This window comes from Homo sapiens, chromosome X (assembly GCF_000001405.40).
Source record: "Homo sapiens chromosome X, GRCh38.p14 Primary Assembly".
NCBI lineage: Eukaryota > Metazoa > Chordata > Mammalia > Primates > Hominidae > Homo > Homo sapiens.
In genome coordinates, this window is record NC_000023.11 from 35,710,246 (window position 1) to 35,736,856 (window position 26,611).

Sequence of the window (26,611 nt, forward strand, 5' to 3'; positions counted from 1 at the left end):
TTGGATTGCACATGGAGACAATCATAACATCTATGAATAGAATCAGTTTAATTTCTTTATGATCTTTATGTTTTTTATTTTCTTTTTTATGGAATTATCATGCTGGCTAGAAATTCCTGTATAATATTAAATAGCAGTGGTTACAGTGGACATTCTTGTCATATACTATGTTGAATAGAAGTGGTAAAAACAGGAATCCTTGTCATGTTCCTTCCTCTTTTTTTCATTATTTCACCACTGAGTATGTTAGCTGTGCGTATGTGTTTTTTTTTTTTTTTTTTTTTTTTTGAAACAGAGTCTTGCTCTGTTGCCAGGCTGGAGTGCAGTGGCGCAATCTTGACTCACTGCAACCTCTGCCTCCCAGGTTCAAGCGATTCCCCTGCCTCAGCCTCCCAAGTACCTGGGACTACAGGTGTGCACCACCACATCCAGCTAAGTTTTTGTATTTCAGTAGAGACGTAAGCAGAAGCAAGAGAGGTAAGCAGAAGCAAGAGCGCTAAGTCCTTACCAGCAGCTAAGGTAAGGAAACTTAATGAGAAAGGAGGAGACAGTCTAACCTACAACAGAAGTAGTAACACAGGGTCTGACCCTTCCTACTGTGCTGTGAACCTTGGAAAGCTTTTAGCTGGCCTGGCTTCCTGTCTGTTCCACCCACACATATTATCATGCCCTGTGACAAAAAGCACCCATCCTTCCCACATGAACAACACTTTGAGGCTCCCAGAGAGACCCAGGGCCTGGAGAGTGCACAGGTCTCAGAGGCTGCAAATGAGGCTTCCTCTTCATCCTCCTGTTCTTTGATACCCTGGAAGAGGCTTCTACCCCTAAGATGCCCAGTATACTCTAGGATCCTCAGATTGCCAACTCCTCTTCCTTCACCTCATTGAGCAAATCAGATAATGTCTCCAGCAGCCAAGAAGAGGGGAAATAAATCCAAGCACCTTGCAGTCCCCACCAGATACTGAGAACTTGCCCATACTTCCTCTAGATGAAAAAGTGGAATTGTCAAAGTCCTGCTGCTCAAGTATGAAAATGAACAAGGCCATAAGAATGGCAGAAAGGCTGAAGAATGTCATCAGGAAATACAAAAACCACTTCTCTGGAATGCTCAGGAGAGCCTCTGAGCATATGGAGCTACCCTTTGACACTGAAATAAAGAAAGTGGACTTCATCAACCACTGCTATGCTCTTGTCAACAAACTGGACCTCAGCTATGGTGGGATGCTGAGTAATAAGAAAGGCATGCCCAAGACTAGGCTCCCAATTCTTATCTTGTGTGGGATCATGATGAAGGACAACTGTGCCTTTGAGGAAGAGATCTGGGAAGTGTTGAATATGATAGACACATATTTTTGGAGGAAGTTCTTCATCTTTGGGGAGTCAAGGAATTTTATCATCAAAGATTTGGTGAAGTAAAAGCAGCTGCAGTACTGGCAGGTGTCCAATAGTGATCCTACATGATATGAGTTCCTGTGGGGGCCCAAGAATCCAGGCTGAAACCAGCAAGATGAAACTAGACTTTTCATGCTAGAGTTCTGGCCAAGATTAATGAGTCTTACTCTTGTTACTTCCCATCCGAGTACAAGGAGGATTTGAAAGATGGGAAAGAGAGAACCTGAGTCAACACTGCAGGCAAGTCTGGCTCCACTTTCATGGCTTATGCGAGTTCCAGTGCCATGTTCAGCAGCTTCTCCCAGCTCTAGCGAATACTGAGGTAGATTCTTCACTTTGGTTTTGAAGGAGGCAGTTAGAGGTCTACATAGTGAAGAGATGAGTGGAGCTGGAGAAAAGAAAATAGTGTATAACATCTTTGTTTTTCTGTTCTACATGGGTAACATGAAGATTTATCATTTGGGCGGAGATTATTCAAATGTTGTTCCTTTTACTATAGCCTTTAGTTAGTCACAGAATCTAAGTTTATGAATGATATTGGCCATATATTTATTGTATCACCAAAATTAATCTAACAGGTCTTCTGCTAACCAGCACCTAAATTGTTTTCCATTTGTGAATATGTTTATAAAACTAAAATCAACATTTTGTAAATGAATTATAAGGCTTTCTAAAAAGACAGATACAGCAAAATGTAAATTTTGTTAAGATGAGTAGGATACAACAATTTTACATTTTTCTAAATATTCTCATATTTATTTTCAAAATTTTCTTTAAATTGTTATTCTCACAAAATGTATGTTAATAACATATACATTTATATTTTACTTCATCAATTCTTTCAATTGTAGTTGAACTTAAGAGTGAGAAAAAACTACATCACTGTTATTTTGTATTCCCCTTTTGTTTAATTAGGTTAAACAGAAAATTATATTATAATCTCACTCATATAAGCTAGATTTATACAGTCATGTCCTGAGTAACAGGATATTTTTAGCAGGCTTTATAATTCCGTTATATCAACAAAGCACTTTCCCTTCATTTGAAAAGCAAGAATTTCTCCAGAATGACCAGGTGCCAAGGAATAGGGCCAGACCAAAAAACACCTCAGCTAGTGAGGATCCAGGGGAAGAGTATTGTCCAGAGTCCATGAGAGGAACCATATGCAAAACCAAGTCCAGAGACCCCAGTGCAGAATGGCTGTTGGGATTCTGAATCTAGAGTTCAGTATCATGTGGAAAAAGAACCAGAAATGAAGAAAGTAGGGAACGTGGAGGAAGGTCCTGGACAAATTGCATGAATAGTTTTAGAAAATCTCTGAATCGCCATTGCCAGCTAAGTGGTAAGGTCATCTCAGTGGGCAAGTCGACCGCATGAAATGAACAGAGGCATGCAAGACACCCACCCTACCTTAGAATCCTCCTACCTACAGTCAGGCAGAGTACAGCTAGCTCTCTTGTGTCACCCAGTGATGTGAAAAATGGATTCTGAGAGAGCTATATGTTTTGACGACCCTGGGAGTCCAGCACACCCTCACGGATGTTCTAGGGCTGGGAGCTGTCTGGAAACCTGCTGGAAATGAGTTTTTCTTTTTTCATGGAAGTTGGCTCTCCTCCATTGAGATTGGGGCCATGTGAATATTTGATATTGCTGAGTGTGTGACAAACAGTTAAGACAGGCTAGGAGTCCCAGAGTGGTGAAAGTTAGTATGGAGCTTCAAGTATGTATTGCTTTATTCACTTGGTAATTAAAAGGGGGATATGCTGTTACTGATTACCTCAGTAACTCTACAGATAAAAGGATGGGTGTCAGTATGTCTTCTAAATCAATCCAGATGATGTCTTCTGCTCAGACTGCTTCCCATGGTTTTTGAGTCTTTGGCACACCAGAGAGTAGGTGTACCAGGGCTTTAATTGCTGGCCTACATTGCCACTACTTACTGCTTGGAGCATGAAGTTGGCCCAAGGTGCAGCCATATGTAGATTGGATAGAAAACACACAGAGATGGCACACATTCTTTTTAAACTGGCTGGAGTAACCGGGAAATATGAAGTCCAATGTCCAATGTAGAAAGCATACATCATCCTGGTGTGTGTACCCCTGCCTCCAAGATTTTAGAGCCTGGGGATCAGATGTCCATTATAAATACTCACAGTGATAATTTCAGATGGGAATTAGCAAGCTGGGTGAGCAACTGGAGCATTTTGAGTTTCTTCAATGGAGGCAAAAAGCCTGACTAGAGGTAAGGCTCTACATTCTGAACCAGAGAATGTTACCTTCTGGTACTTTGATTCATTGTTTCATTTATTCATGCATTCATTCATTCATTCATTCATTCATCTATCCAGCAAGCACACTGTAAACAGTATATGCTGTAGGTGAGACATGTGTCTAGCATGCCTGAAAAAATGAAATGAACTACTTGTCTCTACAGAAAATTTTAAAAATTAGCTTAGCCTGGTGGCGCATGCCTGTAGACCTAGCTACTGGCAGGAGTGAGGTGGGTAAATTGCTTGAGCCTGGTAGGTCAAGGCTGCAGTGAGCCATGATGGCACCACTGCACTCCAGCCTAGGCAACAAAGCGAGACCCATCTCAAAAAAGAAAAAAAAAAAAAAAAAAAGACTGTCTTAGTAGGTTTTCTGGTGTTCATTAAGAGAACAGGTAATTTTAAATTTCAGACATTTGTCTACAACATTATTTAAGTTCCTAATTTCCACATTCAGGAGGTTTTAGAAATCATTCTGGACTCAACATGAACAGTTGTTGGTTGATAGTCCATAACTTGCCCTGAGACCTTAGGAAAGCCACTTTGTCTCATTATATCTATGACACAAAGATTTTGTGCTCATCTGTCGTCAAACTGTTCCACTAAATTTTAAATTCAGTTTCTTAAAAAAAATTTAAAAATACGATCACAATGTTTTTGCTGACTCTAACATTTCATGTGTCTACTGGTGACATATACCTACATAAATATGTTTTCAATTATAATAGCTAGTCTTGAGGTTTTAATATATTTAGGAAGTTTGCAAGGCTTTGTGAGAATGACATTTTGTGACTTAGGCACTGTCATTTCACAGCTGGTTCATAGGAGCAAACTGTGCCAAAGAGTCTCAGCAATGCAAATTCATGATTTTCTTAGGTGGAATTTAATAACAAAAGTTGCTGTAATTGATATTTTATATTGTATTTATTTATTTTTTCTTCAGAGAACCTTAGCTTATGTTTGTGAATAATGTTGTCTTACCAGGAGTAGTGGTGTGAGTCTAGAGTCCCAGCTACTTGGGAGGCTGAGGTAGAAGGATCACTTGAGCTGGGAGTTCAAGTCTATCCTGAACAACATAGTGAGATCTCATCGCATTAAAAAATAAAATTGTCAGCCAGGCGCGGTGGCTCACACCTGTAATCCCAACATTTTGGGAGGCCGAGACAGGCAGATCACGAGGTCAAGAGATCAAGACCAGCCTGGCCAATATGTTGAAATGTCGTCTCTACTAAAAATACAAAAATTATCTGGGTGTGGTGGCGCGTGCCTGTAGTCCCAGCTACTCTGGAGGCTGAGGCAGGAGAATCCCTTGAACCTGAGAGGTGGAGGTTGCAGTGAGCCGAGATCGTGCCACTGCACTCCAGCCTAGTGACAGAGAGAGACTCTGTCTCAAAAAATAAATAAATAAAATAAAATAAGTCTTTATAATTTTGTCCAAATTCTTAAGTCTGAACATTATTTCCAGTAAAAGGCTAAATAAATAAGGGAATCTTGATTCCAGTTTAAAATGTTTACATTTGATTTTTATGTCATAATTAAATTTTATGTTTAAAATAGCTAGTCTTAATATTAAGTACTTTAAAAAATGACAAATTATATAGAGAAATATAAACATATGTGCATTAGAAAACTAGTAATTATAGTTAACTGTAATAACCACTGCTTAATCTAATTCAGACTCCTGCTGTTACGTGTTTAAGAAGACCATTTTTTATGCTTCTAAAACTTTATTTTGAAGTCAGAAGTTACTGCAATGTGATTACAGTTCAAACTCTAGTAGCATCCAAAGTCCTTGGATGTCTTTGCAGTTATGGAATTATCTTAGTAAGTACTGTTGAGGAAATTTTCTAAGTCTTATATCTCTTCTTCTGCCAAAAATGGAAAGAAATGAAATCGAATACAAAAGAAAACATCTCAATACTTGTTGTCAGAAAATGAGAAGAAAGATATTTTCCCTTTCCTAATCTGAGCCCTTTACCCTTTGAGACAAGAACTTAGTTTTTCCAATTTATAACTGAATCCTTATCAAGTATTACTCTAACCCATATGCAGGCTGCACAGTTATTTTCTCAAGGAGATTACAGTTACAAATTAAACATCACCGGAACATACATTTAAAGACCAGTATGAAAAAGTATTTAAGATAAGTATAAAATTATTTTACCCCAATAAAAATATAAATAAGAAAGCATTAAAAAGTCTGAAGAAAAAAATTAATATGAATCTGATCAAGTGGTAAAGTACCTGGTACACAAAATTAAAGTATATCAGCCCCTAATGTGCCGAGGGAAAAAAGGCATAGAGATGTAGATAAATCTGGTTGAAAATTTTATGCAAACTAGTAGAAGATATAGTATCAGATAAAATATAACCAATTAAAAATATTATACTATAAAATATTTGCTAAGAGTTAACAAGGAGCAAATGGTTTGAAAAAGGCATTCGATGTACCCTAACAAGATATTTCTCTATCAAAGAAAACACTTGCAAACACTGACGTAATTTTATTGAAATATTATCAACACCAGACTCAGATATTTATTTCTTCTGCAAATTGACAAATACACAGCAACACTTTTATCAGATCCAGTGTATATTAAAACCATTAGTGGGAATTAGGTGGTTCTGGTCAGAAGCATTTTCAATTTTTCTTTCCGTTCTGTGTCCTCATTTGAAAAACAAAAAAGACACTCCATCTAGTTGTGTAAATGTCTAAAGAAAAGCTGAACACATTCAAATCGCTAGATTCCCCATAAAGAGTTAATCCTCTCATGTATGAAATAGATTTCTGGTGGCTTAGGAAGATTGGACTTTACCTCTGGTAACCATCCTATTCTTTGTTTTTCTGAATTCAATATTGTAATTTATTTTTTATTTTAAAACTTTTAATTGATAATAATTTTACATGAGGTACAAAATGATATTTTGATATATGTATGCACTATATAATTAAGTGTTATACACTATGTAATTACACACTATAATTATTATATACTGTATAATTAATTATACACTATATAATTAAGATAACACCTCACCTCACCTACTTATTTTTTGTGGTGAGAACATTTAAAATCTACTTTCAGCAATTTTGAAATATACATAAAATAAATTACTATTAACTATGCCATCTAGGCTTTTCTATAGATCACTAAAAGTTATTTCTCCTATCTAACTGAAACTTTGTATCCTTTGACCAATATTTCTCTTTTGCCTATCCCCCCAACCTATCCTCTGGTAACCACCATTCTGCTCTCTGCTTGTATGAGTTTGACTTTTTTATATAGCACATACAAATGAGATTATGCAATATTTGTCTTTCTGTGTTTAGCTTATTTCACTTAGCATAATATCCTCCAGTTTCATTCAGGTTGTTCAAAATGCCAGAATTTACTTCGTTTTTAAGGCTCTACAGTATTTAATTGTGTGTATATACTGCGTTTTCTTTATCCATTCATACACTGATGGACACTTAGGTTGCTTCACATCTTGGCTATTGTGAATAATGCTGAAATGAATGTGAAAGTGCAGATATCTTTTCAACATACGATTTCAATTCTTTTGTATATATACTCAGAAGTGGGATTGCTGGATGATATAATTCTATTTTTACTTTTTTGAGGAATTTCCACACTGTTTTCCAAAATGGCTGTACCTAATTTGCATTTCCAATAAGAGTGTAGCAGACTTCCCTTTCCTTTTCTCCACATCCTCACCAACACTTGCTACGTTTTGTCTTTTTGACAACAGACATTCCAGCAGGTGTGAGGTGACATCTCATTATGGTTTTGATTTGCATTTCCCTGATGATTAGTAGTGTTGTGTTGTGTATTTTTTCATATATTTCTTGGCCATTTTTGTTGTCTGTTCAGGTATTTTACCCATATTTTATTATATGCTTTTTGGCTATTGAGTTGTTTGAATTCCTCATATATTTTGGATTAGCTCTGTATCAAATGTATGCTTCACAAACATTTTCTCTCCATCCTTGTGTTGTCTCTTTTCATGGTTAACTCTTTCCTTGGCTGTGAGGAGCTTTTTGATTAAGACAATCTCATTCATCTATTTTTCCATTTATTGTACCATCTTCAATTTCTTTCATCAAAGTTTTAGAGTTTTCAATATTCAGATCTTCTACCTCCCTGGTTAAATTTAACCTTAAATATTTACTTTTGTTTGATGCTGTTATAAATTGAATCATTTTCTTAATTTATTTTAGAATAGTACATTGTTAGTGTATAGAAATGCTACTGATTTTTGCATGTTGATTTTGTATCCTGAAACTTTAATGAATTTATTAGTTTTAGTAGTTTTATTTGGTGGAATTTTTAGTTTTCTATGTATAAGATCATGTAATCAGCACACAGAAACAATTTCACTTCTTCCTTCCTTATTTGGATGACTTTTACTTATTTTTCATGACATGTTGTTCTGGCTCAGACTTCCAGTACTGCGTTGAATAGAAGTAGTGAGAGTTGGTATTCTTTTCTTGTTCCTGATCTTAGAGGAAAAGTCTTCAACTTTTCATCACTGATTATGTTAACTGTGAGTTTGTTACTTATAACCTTTGTGGTGTTGAGTTTGCTTTTCTTCTATACCTATTTTGTTGAGAGTTTAAATCACAAAAGGGTGTTGAATTTTGTCGCATGCTTTGCCCTATCTATTCAGATGATCATGTGGTTTTGTCCTTCATTCTGATAATATCATGTATAACTTATCGATTTATATATGTTGATCCATTTATTCATTCTATGGATTAATCCCATGTAATCATGGAGAATCATTTTTTAATGTGCTGTTGAATTTAGTTGGCTAGTACTTTGTTGAAAATTTTTACATGTATGTTCACTAGGGATATTGGCCTGTAGTTTTTTGTATTGTATTGTCTTCGTCTTTGTTATAAGGGTAATGTTGGTTTTATAAAATAAGTTTGAAAGTGTTTCCTATTCTACAATTTTTTGGAAGAATTTGAGAAAGAAAAGTTTTATTTCCTCTCTAAATGTTGCATGAAATTCAGCAATGAAGCCATTAGGTCCTAAGCTTCTCTTTAATGAAAAAATTTTATTACTGATTTAATCTTTTTACCAGTTTTCGGTCTTTCCAGATTTTATATCTTTTTCATAATTCAGTCTTGGTTGTTTCTAGGAGTTTATCCATTTCTTCTAAGTTATCCAAATTGTTGGTGCATAACGGTTCACAGTATTTTTATATGGACCTTTGTATTTCTTCATAAATATTTATTAATTTTGTTTTTAATATTCTTTCTGCATGCATCTATGTGCATTCATACATTGTAAGTCAAAAAAACATAATTTTTTTTGCTTTGAAAAAATGAACCAGAAGTGAACAAGTGAAATTTTAAATTAAAAATACTTTACCAGTGACATTAGCACCACAAAAATGAAATAGATGTAAATCTAATGAAATATGCAAAAGATGTATATGAGGGAAACTGCAAAAATCTTGTGAAAGAAATCAAACAAGAAGTAAATAAAGTGAGAGATATTCTATGTTTATGCATAGGACAACTGTAAAGCAAGCTAATTTTCAATTGTGATTATGATTATTCTCATCGCTTTGCAGTCACATCTAGCATATTAATGCCTTGTATTTGATTTCGTTTCTTCAACCTGACACACCCAACATTCAAAGGTAGAAAATTGTGACTTAACCATTGTTTTAGGAACCAAATCTTGTTCTCTTTGTAAACGATTCTTTCTAGCACCTTCTTATCGCTTCACTGTCTTGATGTCCTCATGATTCCTAACCACTGTAGAGGTTAACATCTACACTTGATCTTAGCCAAAAGGCTGAGAAGTGATATAGAAGTTAACATCTAACAACAAACAATTGTTGAATGACAACTATGTGTCAGGTACTGTGAGAGGCTCTAAAATTATAGATAACAATCTCCATCCTCAAGTTGCATAGATACTAATGAGAAAGGCAGATAAGCCAAGAGTTACAGGAGTTGTGAATAAATTCTGAATGACTTCCTAGAAATTTCTCTGAGAGCAGAGTGGAGGCATACCTAATCTTTCACTGGTATTATCTATGTTAGCTATTTATAATTGTGTAACATATTAACATAAATTTAGCAGCTCAAAACAATACTCATTTATTATATCATAGTTCCCATGAGTCAGTAGTCTAGGCAAGTCTTCGATGGGACATCTGCTGAGAGTCTCACACATTTTCAGTCAAGGTATTTCCCAGAATTTCCTAGTATATATGGATTGTTTGCACATGAAAAATAATATGGACTATTAAATATGTAAAATAAAGTTTAATTATATTTAAAATTAATTTTCATAAAATTAATTTTTTATAAAATTACATATGAAGTGGTTGCATAAAACTCTAAATCTTGTTTCTCTTTTCAGTTAAAAGAATATTTCTTTTAACTGAATTTTCCAACATAAAATTTTGTGAGAAATAAAAACTAGAATGTGATTAGTGGTTTGATCAAATGCTTCTGAGTCCCCTTGTTATATAATTCATAACATTGCCTTAGAAAACTGCTAATGTTAATTTATAGTAGCATTGTAATGAAGTCAATTTCATTCTTTAAAGTAGACTATTGGAATATTAACATTCTATTCTGTAATTCTTATATCAGTTAAGATATAATTGCACTTAATTTGGCATCTGAATTTATTAAATCATAACTTTTGATTGCACATACTTTGTATTGCCTGAGAAAATATTATGAAAAAAGAGCAATCATGAACTCCTATTGCTGTCAAATTAGATAAACTATTTGCAATCTAATAGATTACAATGAATTATAAATACTTATGTAGAAAATGTATCTATTAATTTATTAATTCAATTATATTAGTACGTATATTAAAAAGCAATTATACACTTAAATGTATATTTGACCAATCTAGAACCCAGCCTACTTTGCTCCTGTTCTAATAAATGTGCAATAACAATTTTGCCATTAAGAACCACATGCTTAAACCTATAAAGTAATTTGGCCTCTATTTGATATCTTTACCTTTGTACAACAGAAACATTTCTACTAACACTGCTATCAAAAAAAGGTCGTTTGTTTTATTTTAGGTGACGTATTTGAACTTTCAAATAAAATGAAATGATTTATATAAATTACCTTCAAAAATAGTAAGATTCTACAGAATTTTCCAGTAAGATTCTTGGAAATTCTAAGTTAGAGGAAACCCTACAAAACCTCCCCCAATATTAAATGCCAGAAATCTAAAGCAATGTCTGCTCTCCTGTGAATGGGAGATTAAATGTTAGAACCTTGAGCAGAATCATGACTCAGTCCTGGAGGAAATCCACTTTCTGGGAGAAACGGTTACTGGACCCCCAAACATAGCACACAAGGACCGCAAAACACACAGCACTGAATTAACACAGCCCTGGCCACTGTCTTTGCTGTGGTGACAAGCGTGTGAACATCTACTCTGTTTAGTCCTTATTTCCTAAGTAGGAAATCAACAGACATTGCTCAGCTTTTGTGCCTGGAGGAAAAGGAGCAGCAAGTATGGGCATCAAGTATTAATATAAAGGGAAAAGGAGGGTATGCTTGACCTCGGGGCTAGGTTAAGGTAAGATTCCAGTTGCAGCCACTTGCAATGGCATAGCCAATCCTATCTCATCAAACCTTTGGGCCTTTTTTTTTGGCAACAACGACTCCTACTCCTTGTTACACTTACCTCTCAGGCTTTTGTTGCCCTTTTTGGTGTACAAATGGTTTGGTTAGAAACAATTGAGATGATAGTCCAGGCATTTCTGTTTAAAGGAAGCCCAGGTGAGAGTCAGCATCCCTCAGCAATTTATGCAAATTAGTCTAATTCCACCCTTGAGATCTACATACAAAAGGGAGTTTCAGCCTTGCCAAATCAAATGAAAGGCCAACAGGAGAAAAGGTGTTCAATCCCAGGCAGAAGACTCTGTAAGGTCTTCTGGTGATTTATGTCATGAAACAATTCGGTCTAAGGGTATACCATGCCAGTTGTTAAATATACTGAATTTCACTCTGGCCTTCTTTTTTATGTTCATTCATGTTATAGCGTGTATCAATATTTTATTCCTTTTAATGGCTGAATAACATTCAATTTTGTGGATATTTCACATTTTTGTTATCCATTCATCAGTTGATGGACATATGATGTATAATACTTTTTTGTGATCCTAAATGTCTCAAAATGGAGTCACTTATGACAAATGACTCAGATCACAGTAAAAATACTGACCTCAGAGAATAAGTATATGAATGGTGGACTGAGGTAATAAGATAACACTTGCTGTGGCCAGGCACTCCTGAAACCTGAGAAGACGATGGAGCCAAAAGGCAGCTGAGCTAGCTATGGACATTTCTCTGGCGGATCATAAAAAATGCAAAGAAACTTACCGTGGCCAACACCTGCAGAAACTCTTCCCTTTTATGTCTGCAGCAATGGCTGAAAGTCCTGCTAAGAGAAGAGCAGCAACCACTTCCTTCCGGCTCCTCCAATGGAGTTAGCACAACTAGGCTGATTAGAACCTGACAGGAGAACACATGGGTTATTTTTACCTTTTGGCTATTGTGAATAGTGTTGCTATAAAAATTCGTGTAGAAGTTTTTCTTTGAATATCTGTTTTCTATTCTTTTGAGAATATACCTCGCAGTGGAACTGCTAGGTCCTATGGTAATTCTGTGTTTAACTTTTTGAGTAATCTGCAAACTATGTTCCACAACAGATACACCATTTTACATTTCTACACACAATGTATAAGGGCTACAATTTTTCTACATTCTTGCTAACACTTGTTATAATTTTTATTTTGATTGTAGCCATCTCATTGGGTGTAAAGCAGTATCTCATTGTGGTTTTGTTTTGCATTTTCCTAATGATAAATTATGCTGAGCATCAATTCATTTGTGTGTTGGTCATTTGTATATTTTCTTTGGAGAAAAGCCTATTAAAATCTTATGCCCGTTATTTTTTTGTTTTGTTTTCTGTTGTTATTACAGTATTTTATATATTCTGGTTATTAATTTTTTAACAAATATATAATTTACAAATATTTTCTCTAATACTGTGGCTTTTCTGTTCTCTTGATAGTGCACGTATTAGTCAGGGTTTTCCAGAGAAACAGAACCAATAAGAGATGGATGGATGGATAGATAGATAGATAGATAGATAAACAGATAGATAAAGAGGGAATTTGTTATGGGAATTGGCTCACACAATTATGGACACAAGAATTCCCATGATATATCATCTGCAAGCTGGAGAACCAGGAAAGCTGTCGGTGTAATTTAGACTGAATCTGAAGGCTTGATAACTAGGGACACTGCTGGTGTAAGTCATGGAGTCCAAAGGCCCATGAACCAGGAACTCTGATGTTTGAGGGCAAAATAAGATGGATATCTTAGCCTAGGAAAAGAGAGTTAATCCTCCACTTTTCCACTGTCAGAACTCTCAACAGATTGGATGATATCCACCCACATTAGTGAGGGTATATCTTCACCCAGGCTGGAGTGCAGTGGCGCAATCTCAGCTCACTGCAACCTCCACCGCCCTGGGTTCAAACAATTCTCCTGACTCAGCCTCCCAAGTAGCTGGAATTACAGGCACCCGCCACCACGCCCAGCTAATTGTTGTGTTTTTAGTAGAGACAGGGTTTCACCATGTTTCCCAGGCTGGTCTCGAACTCCTGACCTCAGGTGATCCACTGGCCTCGGCTTCCCAAAGTGCTGGGATTACAGGCATGAGCCACAGCAGTTTGCTGATTCAAATGTCAGTCGCTTCTGGAACACCCTCACAGACACACTCAGAAAGAAACTTTTACCTGCTATCTGAATATCTGTTTTTAAAGTAACGGCAAGAACCGCAATTACTTTTGCACCAACCTAATACCTTCACATTTTATTCTTGTCCCCATCTATGTCTTCTCTCCTTCCGTAACTTTCATTATGCATATGTTAATGTGTTTGATGGTGTCCCACAGGTCTCCTGGGCTTTGTTAACTTATTTTTTTTTCCTCTGTTCTCCTCAGACTGGATAATCTGAATTGTCCTATTTTCAAATTTGTCGATTATTTGTTCTGTCTTATTATGCCGTTTTTCTTTTCTACTAAACTTTTTGTCTGTTATTATACCATTCAGCCCCAGAGATTCTAGTTGGATTATTTTTATATTTTTCATGTTTTTATTGATATTTTCTTTCTTTCATACATGTGTGTCCTTTGTTCCTTTAGTTATTTGTCCATGGTATTTTTTTAGTTCTTTTAGCATATTCAAGACAGTTGATTTAAAGTCTCTTTGGAAGTTCGGTATTTGGCCTTCCTCAGGGACTGTTTCTACGTTTCCATTCATTTATTTTGTGTATTTATGATTGGGATATACTTTCTTTTTTCTTTGCTTGCCTCATGATTTATTTTGAAAATTGAACATTCGGAATATTGTAAAAAACTGTGAGTTTTTTATTAGATCTCAGAATTTTGAAAAAAAATGATTCTGAGTTGCAATATTAGAAAACAAATTATTCTACCTCCTAAGGGTTTGTTCTGCTGGTTGTTGTAGTTACTTTTCATTAAGTGACTTTTATGAACTGTTTTTATAAAGTGTATATATTTTGCATGTGTGGAAATTGATGTGTTTGTTCCATTAGCTTAGTAATCAGCTAGAGATCTGGCAAACAATACCTAAAATGCCATAAGGCAAAAATAAATAAATATTTAAATATCTTCCAGTCTTTGCAAATTGGGTCTGTGTTGGGACACCCCTACAAAGCTTAGCTAGGTTGTTTATAACTCTATCTTAACATTTAATTTCTGCTTGCACAGAGCTTAGCTATTAGCTAGTAGTGAAAGCTCATGGTCTTCGTACTTATTTTCCGAGTATGCATTTTTGTCCTGGGAATGTATATGGCCTCCTAGGTTCCCCAACATACACCAAAACTTTTAAAAGTACTTATTGCTTCAAGTATCTTCTCTCCCAGCTTCTTTTTTTACCAGGCTTCTCATTCTGTCGAATGTTGGCATCAGTTTTAGTCCTTTACCCCAGGTGGCTGTAGCTAATACTTTTGCATTTAACATTTGCTTTTGACAAATGTTGCTCAAGAAGCCACTTCAGCCCTGGCAATGCTTTATGCAAGTTTAACAAACACAAGCTCTTGAGCTAATCCTTCAGAGGTATATCAGACATGTCAAAACACACAACCCTTTTGCTTTGAGAATAATGTGTATATTGCTCTCTCTAGTACCAGAAACTTTTAACAGGTATGTGGATTCTTCCATTCATGGCTACTGCCAAGCTGAGGAGTAGGTTATAAAAAATGATTAGGTTAAAACACCAAAATATTCTCTTATCAATATTCAACAGCTTTTTTTTAATTGAGTTTTCCTGATTGCTGTGAGTTTTTTATTAGATCTCAGAATTTTGAAAAAAAAATTGATTCTGAGTTTGTGCCAGCCTGTCTATTATTTTATGGAGGGACAAAGTTTTAATAGTTTTTACTGTGCCATTTTTGATGACTTACAAAAGTTATTTTTATATCAGAAGGAACTGAGTATTGTGTGAAAGTAGTTTTCTTTTTTTCCTCATAATTTCAATGGTAATTCACAATCTATTTGCTCTTTGATTTTGATTCAACTTATTACAACTGTTTCTCTTTTGTTTTTGTTGGTAGCTACTCTCCTCTCTACATGCCTATACCACTGACTTCTCTGGTTAACATAGAAAAAATAAAATCTCATCCTGTCAATGAACATTTGGGAAGAATTATTAACCTCATGATGACCATAGGAATTTGGGGAAACGTTACATGAAAACTGTAGTCTCAAATCAAAATAGTAATTGTTCAGAAAATTACACATAATATGAGTCTCCTCTACATTGGTGTATCTTCTCCCACTTTAGTCACCCTAATTCATTTCCTTATTGTTATCATATCATTATCATCCCACGCTCAACAATCACATACTCCTTAAACAAATGTGAGGATAAAATCTGGGAATCAAAAATCTGTACACATGTGGTAGTTATTTATTATTAGGCATCTTCTCTGAGTTTCTTATCAATGGTACTACCACTTAGTCTGCCAGGTTCTGTATGCTTTGGAGGTACAAATATTTTAGTACCAAGCAACACCACTTCAAATGCCATATACTAAATGAAGAAATAGTAATTTCTATTGGTCTACACCCATGCTAATTTTATAGACCTGATTACTATTGCAAGAAACCTTAGAATATGGAAAAGGAATACAGCAAATTTTAAAGTTTGACATTTTTAAGCTAGATTCTCAAGAATTTTAATTTATTATTTTGTTTATTACTCCCCAGGGTTTAATTTACCAAAAAAATACAGCAAGTATTCTAGGCTTGAGGACAGTAAATACCAAAGAAAGGATATGATTCCTGCCCTCAGAGTAGTCACATTAAAGTGAAGGAAGCAACCTTGTATAGGACTAATCTAACTTACAATTAAACTGTTTTAATTTGGAGTAGGCGCCCTCTCCAGGTGGATGGTAAAAGTTTACTGAGCACATATTTCATTCATAAAAATAAAAAAAAAAATGCATCTTTTGCTTCAGTGTATGCAACCTTGTACTGAGCGATCCTTGCCCTCAACAAGGTGCTCCTTGCAAGGCATCATCTATGCTAGTGTACATGGTGTCCTTAAATATGTCCACTAATTTCTATAACACACACAGAGCATGACAATTTGTATAACAAAAGGAGGAATTTATTTGTTTATAATGGTACAGACAAGAGATAACTGATAAACAAATATGTTTGATCAAAGAGAATGAGTAGAAATTTGTCAGATAAACAATGAGATGATCAAGAGAGATGTGTTAGGGAGAAGACCACGAAAAGAGCAAGGCAAAACAGGTAAGCATGAAATTTGACGGACTCTTGACCAGAGAACTCTGAGAATGGTTTGGAATAAGTGACAACAAATTGTTTGCTTAGATAAGATAAAGTGATATTGAAAAGAGCAGTAAAGTTCAAATTGAATAAATTAGGTTTTGTTTTACTGAAGGTATTGAGCATAGATATAATCTGATTTCATCTTTGTTTTATAGTCTCTGTAGCCAATATTGGGTGTATATTCATTTGAAGACAAAAACGGGAATCAGGGAGACTGGCTAATTGGATCTTGCAATCTATTCTCTGCTGCCTTTCATTTTTTTCTATGATTCTGGAAAGGAATATGCAAATCTACTGTTTGATTACTAGCAGTAGAAACAGAAAAAGGACTGTAAGAAGCAATGGTAAAAGAAAATGTGACAAAACTTGATTTGATAAAAGAAAGAGGAAGAAGAAAATGGGGTATAAGGGAGAACTGTAAAGATGAATCTGGCTGTAAAAATAAATATTAATAAGGGTATGGATGATATTCAGATTTGAAGGCAGGCAAATTTTCATTTGCTTGCAGAGCAAATAAATGGCAAATTTTTTAATCAAATATTTTTTTTTCCAAGAAATATGGTAATAATGGGCAAGAGAGGAAGGGTGTTCATTTTATTCTCACAATAACATCCAGAGTCTAAATACAGCTTTCTGGTATTTGCTAGAGAATGTCATACCACGTACTCTGTATTTTTATTAAGCAACCTGTTTATATGTTATTCCATTTAAATATGTATTACTTTCTGCAAGTGTTTGTGAAGTAATCTCTCAGGAATGCAGTTAAGATTCTGTAAAAATGACGGAATTTACTCAGTATAGTCATCCAAACCTTTTTTTAAAATTTACTTAACTTTTATTTTAAATTCAGGGGTACATATGCAGGTTTATTACATAGATAAATTTGTGTCTTGAGGGGTTGTTCTGCAGATTATTTTGTCACTCAGGTATTAAGCATAGATTATTTTTCCTGGTTCTCTCCCTCCTCCCACCCTCCTCCCACTGATAGGTGCCAGTGTCTGTTATTCTCCTCTATGTGTTCATGTGTTCTCATCATTTGGCTCCTGTGGTCTCATCATTTAGCTCCCACTTATAAGTGAGAACATGCAGTATTTGGTTTTCTCTTCCTGTGTTAGTTTGCTTAGGATAATGGCCTACAGCTGCACCCATGTTGCTGCAAAGGAGATAATTTCATTCTTTTTATGGCCGTATAGTATTCTATGGTATATATGTACCACAATTTCTTTAGTCTACCACTGACAGGCATTGAGATTGATTTCATGTCTTTGTTATTGTGAATAGTGCTGCAATGAACATGTGCACACATGTGTCTTTATAATAAAATGATTTCTATTCCTTTGGGTATATACCCAGTAATGGGAATGCTGGGTGGAATGGTATTTCTTTTTTTAGCTACTTGAGGAATCAGCACACTGTCTTCCACAATGGTTAAACTAACTTAGACTCTCACCAACAGTGCATAAGCATTTTTTCTCCACAACCTCACCAGCATCTGTATTTTTTGACTTCTTAAGAATAGCCATTCTGACTGGTGTAAGATGGTATCTCATGTGGGCTGCAATTTGCATCTCTCTAATGATCAGTGATGCTTTCTTCATATGATTGTTGGCTGCATGTATGTCTTCTTTTGTGTAGGGGTTCAGTCAGGATGGTGGGGAAAATTATAAAATAAAACACGAACCTTCTTGGAAGGCCAAAAGGTTTTTGCATAGCTTCAGATAGTTTGGCTGAGAGCAGCCAGTCTCTTTGCAGGAACCAGAGTGCTTAGGGCCCAGATACAAAGGAATGTAGAGTAGTTTATCTAAAGAGCTTGTTTACTCATGTGGTCCTAAAGCTAACCTTTGATTACTCATGGGCAGGATGGCTCTCTCGGGGGTAGGTAACCAGGTTGATTACCCTCTAATAGTGTTGACTTAAAGCTTTTGTCATTTAATGTGTGCTAAATAAATGCCAAGAAGGCCAGCTAGCTGGGGCCGTGGCTGACAGCACTCTCCTTAGAGTCTGTAAGTGGCCTGGATACTTGGCCGGTCTGACAAGCAGAATATCTGTGTCAGTGTACATTATGCATCTGTCATTGAATCAGGATATGCAAGACAGACTCCTGCACTTTTGAAAAGTGTCTATTCATGTACTTTAACCATATTTTAATGGTGTTTTGTTTTTCTTTTGTAAATTTAAGTTTCTTGTAGATGCTGGATATTAGACCTTTGTCAGATGCAGTTTGTAATAATTTTCTCCCATTCTGTAGGTTGTCTGTTTACTCTGTTGATAGTTTCCTTTGTTGTGCATAAGCTCTTTCATTTAATTATATACCACTTGATAATTTTTGCTTTTGTTCCAATTACTTTTGGTATCTTCATCATAAAATTTTTGTCCATTCCTATGTCCAGAATGGTATTGCCTAGGTTGTCTTCTAGGGTTTTTATTATTTGGGGTTTCACATGTAAGTCTTTAACCATAATGAGTTAATTTTTTATATGATGTAATGAAGTGGTCCAGTTTAATTTTTCTGCATATGGCTAGCCAGTTATCACAGCACCATTTATTGAACAGGGAATCTTTTCCCCATTGCTTGTTTTCAGGCTTGTCAAAGATCAGATAGTTCTAACTGTTCAGCCTCATTTCTGGACTCTCTATGCTGTTCCATTGGTCTATGTGTCTGTTTTTGTACCAGTACCATGCTGTTTTGTTTACTGTAGTCCTGCAGTATAATTTGAAGTTGGATAGTGTGACGTCTCCAGCTTTATTCTTTTTGCTTAGGATTACCTTGGCTATTCAAACTCTTTTTTTGGTAACATATGAATTTTAAAATATTTTTTCCTAATTCTTTGAAGAATGTCAGTGGTAGTTTAGTGGGAATAGCTTTGAATCTGTAAATTGCTTTGGGTAGTAAGGCCATTTTAATGATACTGATCCTTCCTATCCATGAGCATGGAATGCTTTTTCATTTGTTTGTGTCATCTCCAATTTCTTTGAGGAGTGTTTTGTAGTTCTCCTTGTAGAGATCATTCACCTCCCTGGCTAGTTGTATTACTAAGTATTTGTTTTTTTTATGTGACAGTTGTGAATGAGATTGCACTCCTGATGTGGCTCTCAGCTTGACTGTTTTTGGTGTGTAGGAATGTTAGTGATTTTTGCATATTGATTTTCTATCCTGAGACTTTGCTGAAGTTGTTTATCAGCTTAGGGAGCTTTTGGGCTGAGACTATAGGGTTTTCTAGATATAAGATCATGTCACCTGCAAACAGTGATAGTTTTACTTCCTCTCTGCTTATTTTGGATCCCTTTATTTTTTTCTCTTGCCTGATTGCCCTGGCAAGGACTTCCAATACTATTTCGAATAAGAATGGTGAGAGAGGGCATCCTTGTCTTGTGCTGGTTTTCAAGAGGAATTCTTCAAGCTTTTGCCTGTTCAGTATGATGTTAACAGTAGGTTTGTCACATATGGCTCCTATTATTCTTAGGTATGTTCCTTCAATATCTAGTTTATTGAGAGTTTTTAACATGAAAGGATGTTAAATTTTATTGAAAGCCTTTTCTGCATCTATTAATATAATCTTGTGTTTTTTTTCTTTAGTTCTGTTTGTGATGAGTCATACTTATTGATTTGTGTAGGTTAAACCAACTGTGCATTAAAGAAATAAAGCCTACTTGATCATGGTGGATAAGCTTTTTGACGTGTTGCTGAATTCCATTTGCCAATTTTTTTTGATGATTTTTGCATCAATGTTCATAAAGGATATTGGCCTAAAGTTTTCTTTTTTTTTTTTTTTGGTTGTGTCTCTGCCAGGTTTTGGTATCAGGATAATGTTGGCCTCATAGAATGAGTTACGGAGGAGTCCCTCCTCCTCAGTTTTTTGGAATACTTTCAACAGGAATGGTAGCAGCTCTTCTTTGTACATCTGGTAGAATTCAGCCACGAATTTGATCCTGGGCTTTTTTTTGTTGGTAGGCTATTTATTACTGACTCAATGTCAGAGCTTCTTATTAGTCTTTTCAGATATTAAATTTCTTCCTGGTTCAGTCTTGGGAGCATGAATGTGTCCAGGAATTTATTCATTCTTCTAGATTTTCTAGTTTTTATGCATAGAGGTGTCCATAATATTCTCTGATGATTGTTTTTATTTCTGTGGGGTCAGTGATAATATCTCCCTTGTCCTTTCTGATTGTGTTTATTGAATCTTCTATTTGTTCTTCTTTATTAGTCTAGCTAGCAGTTTATCTATTTTATTAATTTTTTCAAAAAAAAACAACTTCTGGATGTGTTGACCTTTTGAATGGTTTTTCATGTCTCAACCTCTTTCAGTTCAGCTCTGCTTTTGGTTGTTTCTTGTCTTCTGCTAGCTTTGGGATTTCTTTGCTCTTGGTTCTCTAGTCTTTTAGTTGTGATGTTTGGTTGTTAACCTGACATCTTTTTTACTTTTTGATGTTGTCATTTAGTGCTATATATTTCCCTCTTAACACTGCCTTAGATTCATGCCATAGATTCTGGTATGTTGCATATTTGTTGTCATTAGTTTCAAATAACTTGATTTCTGCCTTAATTTCATTATTTACTCAAAAGTCATTCAGGAGCAAGTTATTCAATTTCCATGTAATTGTATGATTTTGAGTGAATTTCTTTTTTTTTTTTTAGATGAAGTCTCATTCTGTCGCCAGGCTGGAGTGCAGTGACACGATCTCAGCTCACTGCAACCTCCACCTCCTGGGTTCAAGCGATTCTCCTGCCTCAGCCTTCTGAGTAGCTGGGACTACAGGCGTGTACCACCATGCCCAACTGATTTTTGTGTTTTTAGTAGAGACGGGTTTTCACCATGTTGGCCAAGATGGTCTCGATCTTTTGACCTCTTGATCCACCCGCCTCAGCCTCCCAAAGTGCTGGGATTACAAGCATGAGCCATCATGCCCGGCTGAGTGAATTTCTTAGTCTTGAGTTTATTTCACTGAACTGTGGTCTGCGAGATTATTTGGTATGAATTCAGTTCTTGTGCATTTTCTGAGGAGTGTTTTACTTCTGATTATGTAAACAATTTTAGAGTAAGTACTGTGTGGCAATGAGAAAAATGTATATTCTGTAGTTTTTGAGTGGAGTATTCTGTGTGTATCTACCAGGTCCACTTGATCCAGAGCTGAGTTCAAGTCCTGAATGTCTTTGTTAATTTTCTGTCTCAATTATCTGTCTGAGATTGTCAGTGGGGTTGTTAAAGTCTCCCACTATTATTGTGTGGGTGTCTAAGTCCCTTTGAAGGTCTCTAAGTACTGGCCTTGTGAATCTGGGTGCTCCTGTATTGGGTGCATATATATTTAGGATAGTTAGCTCTTCTTGTCGAATTGGACCCTTTACAATTATGTAATGCCCTTCTTTGTCTTTTTTTGATCTTTGTTGGTTTAAAGTCTGTTTTGTCAGAAACTAGGATTGCAACTCTTGCTTTTTTTTGTTTTCCATTTGCTTGGTAAATTTTCTTCCATCCTTTTATTTCGAGCCTAGGTATGTCTTTCATGTGAGATGGGTCTTTTAAAGGCAGCATACTACTGGGTCTTGTTTCTTTGTCCATCTGTCCACTCTGTCTTTTAATTGGGGCATTTATACCATTTACATATAACGTTAGTATTGTTATGTGTGGATTTGATCCTGTCATCATGATGCTATCTGGTTATTTTGCAGAGTTGTTTATGTGGTTGCTGCACAGTGTCACTTGTCTGTGTACTTCAGTGTGTTTTTGTAGTGGCTCATAACCATTTTCCTTTCCATATTTAGTGCTTCTTCCAGGAACTCTTGCAAGATGAGTCCAATAGTAATGAATTCCCTCAACATTTGCTTGTCTGAAAATAATCTTATTTTTCCTTCACTTATGAATCTTAGTTTGACTGGATAGATATGAAGTTCTGAATTAATTTTTTTCTTTAAGAATGTTGAATATTGGCCCCCAATCTCTTCTAGCTTGTAGGATTTCCACTGAGGAGCTTGCTGTTAGTCTGATGGGCTGTCCTTTGTACATTACCTCTGCTTTGTCTATTCTGCTATTAATACGTGTGATTACATTTTGAAGTTCTTGTAGTGTGTTTTTCAGCTCTAACAGGTCAGTTATCTTCCTTTCTAAACTGACTATTTTGGCTGTCAGCTCCTGTATTGTTTTATCCTGATTCTTAGCTTCCTTGCATTGGGTTACAACATGCTCCTTTAGCTCAGTGAGGTTTGTTATTACCCACCTTCTGCAGCCTACTTCTGTCATTTCAGCCATCTCAGCCTAAGCCTAATTCTGAGCCCTTGCTGGAGAAGTGTTGCAGTAATTTGGAGAAAAAGGCACACGCTGGCTTTTTGAGTTTTCAGCATTTTTGCATTAATTCTTTCTCATCCTTGTGGGCTTATCTACTTTTGATCTTTGAGGTTGCTGATCATTGGATGGGGTTTTTGGGTTTTGTTGCTGTTGTTTTCTGTTTGTTTTTCTTTTAACAGTTTGGGCACTCTTCTGTAGGGTTGCTGTGGTTTGTTAGGAGCCTGCTCCAGACCCTAGTTGCCTCATTTTTTCTCATACCTGGAGGTATCACCAGTGAGGGCTGCAAAATGCCAAAGATGACGGCCTGCCCTTTCCTCTGGAAGCTCTGTCTCAGGGGGGTTCTGACCTATTGCCAACCCAAACGTGCCTGTGGGAGGTGACTGGAGGCCCTGGTTAGGAGGTCTCACCCAGTCAAGAGGAATGGAATCAGGGACTCACTTAAAGAAGCAATCTGGCTGCTTTTTGGTAGAGTAGTGGTGCTGGGTTAGAGACCCCTTCAGCCCCTGATCAGCTTGAGCTTTCGAAGGCCTACAGGCTAAACCGGCTGAGAAGCCTGAATGGCTAAGCTGGTGGCCTGCCCTGCCCCTCAGGCACTCCATCTTAGGGAGAATATGGGTGGCCAGAGGCCCTGGCTGGGAGGACCCAGCTGGGGGAACCCCCCCCCCCCCACTAGAAGGAGTGGATTGGGGTCCTGCTTAAAGAAGCAGTCTGGCCATGCCTCGATAAAACAGCTGTGTCATGGTGGGGAACCGCCTCTGCCCCTGTTGGCTTATACTCTACAAAGCCCATAGGCTGGAATGGCTGAGTCGTTTGACATACGCAAGTGGTGGTCCTCACCCTGACTCAGGCATTCTGTCCCAGGGAGAGATCAGAGCTCTGCCCCTAATACATGCTGACAGGCATAGCTGGAAGGTCTGGCTGGGAGGTCCTGTCCAGTGAGTAGGAATGGATCGCGGCCTGGCTTAAAGAAGCAGTCTGCTGTGATCTGGCAAAGCCGTGGTGTTGCACTGCTGGGGGGCCCTTCCTCATCTGGACTGTTTGGACTCTCCAAACCCCGCAGACTGGAACTGCTGTGTCATCCAACCAAGCCGTGTGGTGGCTTTCCTTTCCTCTGGGCACTCTGTCCCAGGTAGAGATCAGAGCTCTGTCCCTAATACATACTGGCAGGCATGGCTGGAGGGTCTGGCTAGGAGGTCTCACCCAGTGAGGAGGAATGAATCGGGGCCCTGCTTAAAGAAATAGTCTGTCTGTAATCTGGCAAAGCTGCAGTTTTGCGCTGCTGTGGGGGACCCTTCCTTGTCGAGAGCCTTTGGACTTTTCAAAGCCTGCAGTCTGGAATGGCTGAGTCAACCAAACAGCAGAGTTGGTGACTGTCCCTCTCCCCAGGGCTCCATCCAGTCTCAGGCAGGCTCCACACTCTTGCCAATGGTGGGCTGGAATTCCAAGTCAGTGGATCTTGTCTTGTGACATGCCATGGAAGTGGGGCCCACAGAATGATGCTGCTCAGCTCCCCAGATCCACCCCCTTCCTAGGGGTATGTGTAGACCTCCTGCCTTGCCTGAGTTGCAGACACATTTGTTGGAGACCCTGGGGTTGGAATATGTAAAGCTCCTGGGTTTCTGCGCATGCCCATGCAACTGCTCTGCAAAGACTCCACACCACTCTGTGTGTCACACCCAAGGCTTTGGTGGCATGGGCTCACCAGGGGATCTCCTGATCTGTGGGTTGCAAAGATCCATGGGAGAAGTGTGGTTTCCTGGGGTCACGCAGTCACTAACCACTTTTCTTGGCTGGGTGTGGGGGTTCCCTTGGCTTTGTGTCACTCCCTGCTGGGCTGTCACCCCACTCTGCCTTTCTTCTTTGTGTGTCTAGTTGTTTTCCTAATCAGTCCCAGTGTGAGAACCTGTATATTTCAGTTGAAGGTGCTATATTCACTCACCCCTTTCATTCCTCTCCATGAGTGCTGTGGACTACAGCTGCTTCTAATGGGCCATCTTGATGCATGTGTATTTTCACAAAGCTAGAAGGGAGGATTCTGAATATTTCCAACACAAAGAAGCAATGTTTGAGGTGATAGATGTGCTAATTACACTGATTTGATCATTACATATTGTATACATGTATCAAAATATCACACTGTACTCCATAAATATGTACAACTATTATGTGTCATTTAAAAAGTTTTAAAAAGTTAAAATTAAGATTCCATATGAAAAAAAAACACAGAAAAACCCAGTAAGGTATCTAGAAGAGGCATGTTTAAAAATACTTTAATAAATATTAGACTCTGACCCAACATGCAAAGATACTCCCTTCACAAATATCTAAGTATGCGTTGAGTAAAATTAGGATTGACTTCAATGATTTCTCATTTCCAGTTAAATTTTTGAAGTGTTTTAATAGTATTTCTATTTCAGTGAGTGTCAATGCTTTATCACATGAATGAGATGAGCATACCAAAATTAATTGTGCATCCAAAAGTTTTATGAATTCATAACAAAGTTGAGAAAATATTACTGCAGTGTCAGAAAACAGTGTAATTAACTTTTACATTCTAAGTTTTTACATCAGATTTACACATTGTAAAATACATTTGTAATTAGTGAAATATTCACTACGTTTATTTTAAATACTCTGAGCATTGCCTTAGCTTTAAAGCTAGAATAGAATGCTTAATTAACATATTAATAAGAAAGGTATAAATTATTATATAATTGCTTATCATTTAAGCTTCCTAATGATCAACATTAAAAAGTCTGTATGTGTAAGATTCCTTTTATATCTGTTTCAAAGTCATTTTACATATCTATATATGATATGTATAATATAAATACTATATGTATTACACATATTAAATTATATATACATATATTATAGATTGAAATATTATATTATATACTGTATATATGTAATATTATATAAGATATATAATATGTATGTATATAATATGTATTAATCCAGCACCTAAAAGCCAACAACTTCCACAAATTAATAAAATTGTGTCCAATTATCTTTCACGAAAGTACAAGAGTTCTGTGAAACCATATCTTGCTCATAATTTGGAAAATCACCAATTGATATTGGTTCAGAGTGGACAACTAAATCAGGTACCACAGAAAAGTTTGTGTGCCAAGCAATTCAGAGGAAACATTTCATTTGCAGATTTTCTGTTAATGACACTGAAGCTTCCGTGTAATCGTATTTGCAATCACAAATGTGCAGAACCACTGCTCCTGATGTCATTACAGCTACAATAACTATGTTTTTTCAATACATAATCATGTTTCATATGGAAAATGGGGTGATGTTTGGAATGGTTAATTACCAGTGCTAGCAAATTCTACAATGTAAAAGGGGCTATACAAAAATAGCACCGGATCCTGAAGAACCCCTGCTGTTCCAGGCCTTAACTCTTTAGTTACCAGGTCTCGAATGGGTCCAAGATCCAGAGGAAATTTTTGAGGCAGCTCTGGTACCAGATGGGGCACTGAGAATAGTAGCCAGCTATCAACTATCCAAGAAGTATGTCAAGATTTTATTCCCTGGAAAGTATCTACCACTGTGTGCCAGGTGAACACCAGCCCTGATTTTAGTTGAACCTCATCATACTAACTTACTGTACATATCTAATTGTCCTCGCATTTAGAAGGATGTTTAATAGATGTTAATCCATATATTATGTGTCCTCTCATCCACATATGTGGATAACATCCACTAAACACAAAAGACTTGTTATATAAGTAATGAATTTTATAACAATTGGTGTATAACAAATTTTAA

General features: G+C 36.6%; 1 pseudogene, besides 1 other annotated feature; it reads left to right on the forward strand.

Moving 5' to 3' along the window:
• LOC100420325 (MAGE family member B16 pseudogene) lies at positions 705-1,613 on the forward strand (annotated as a pseudogene).
• Positions 18,020-18,758: an enhancer, noted in NCBI's record as "OCT4-NANOG hESC enhancer chrX:35746382-35747120 (GRCh37/hg19 assembly coordinates)". NCBI's record gives its function as "activates a minimal SCP1, AML or CMV promoter by ChIP-STARR-seq in naive and primed H9 embryonic stem cells {active_cell/tissue: H9 hESC(naive and primed)}" and the evidence as "EXISTENCE:reporter gene assay evidence [ECO:0000049][PMID:30033119]".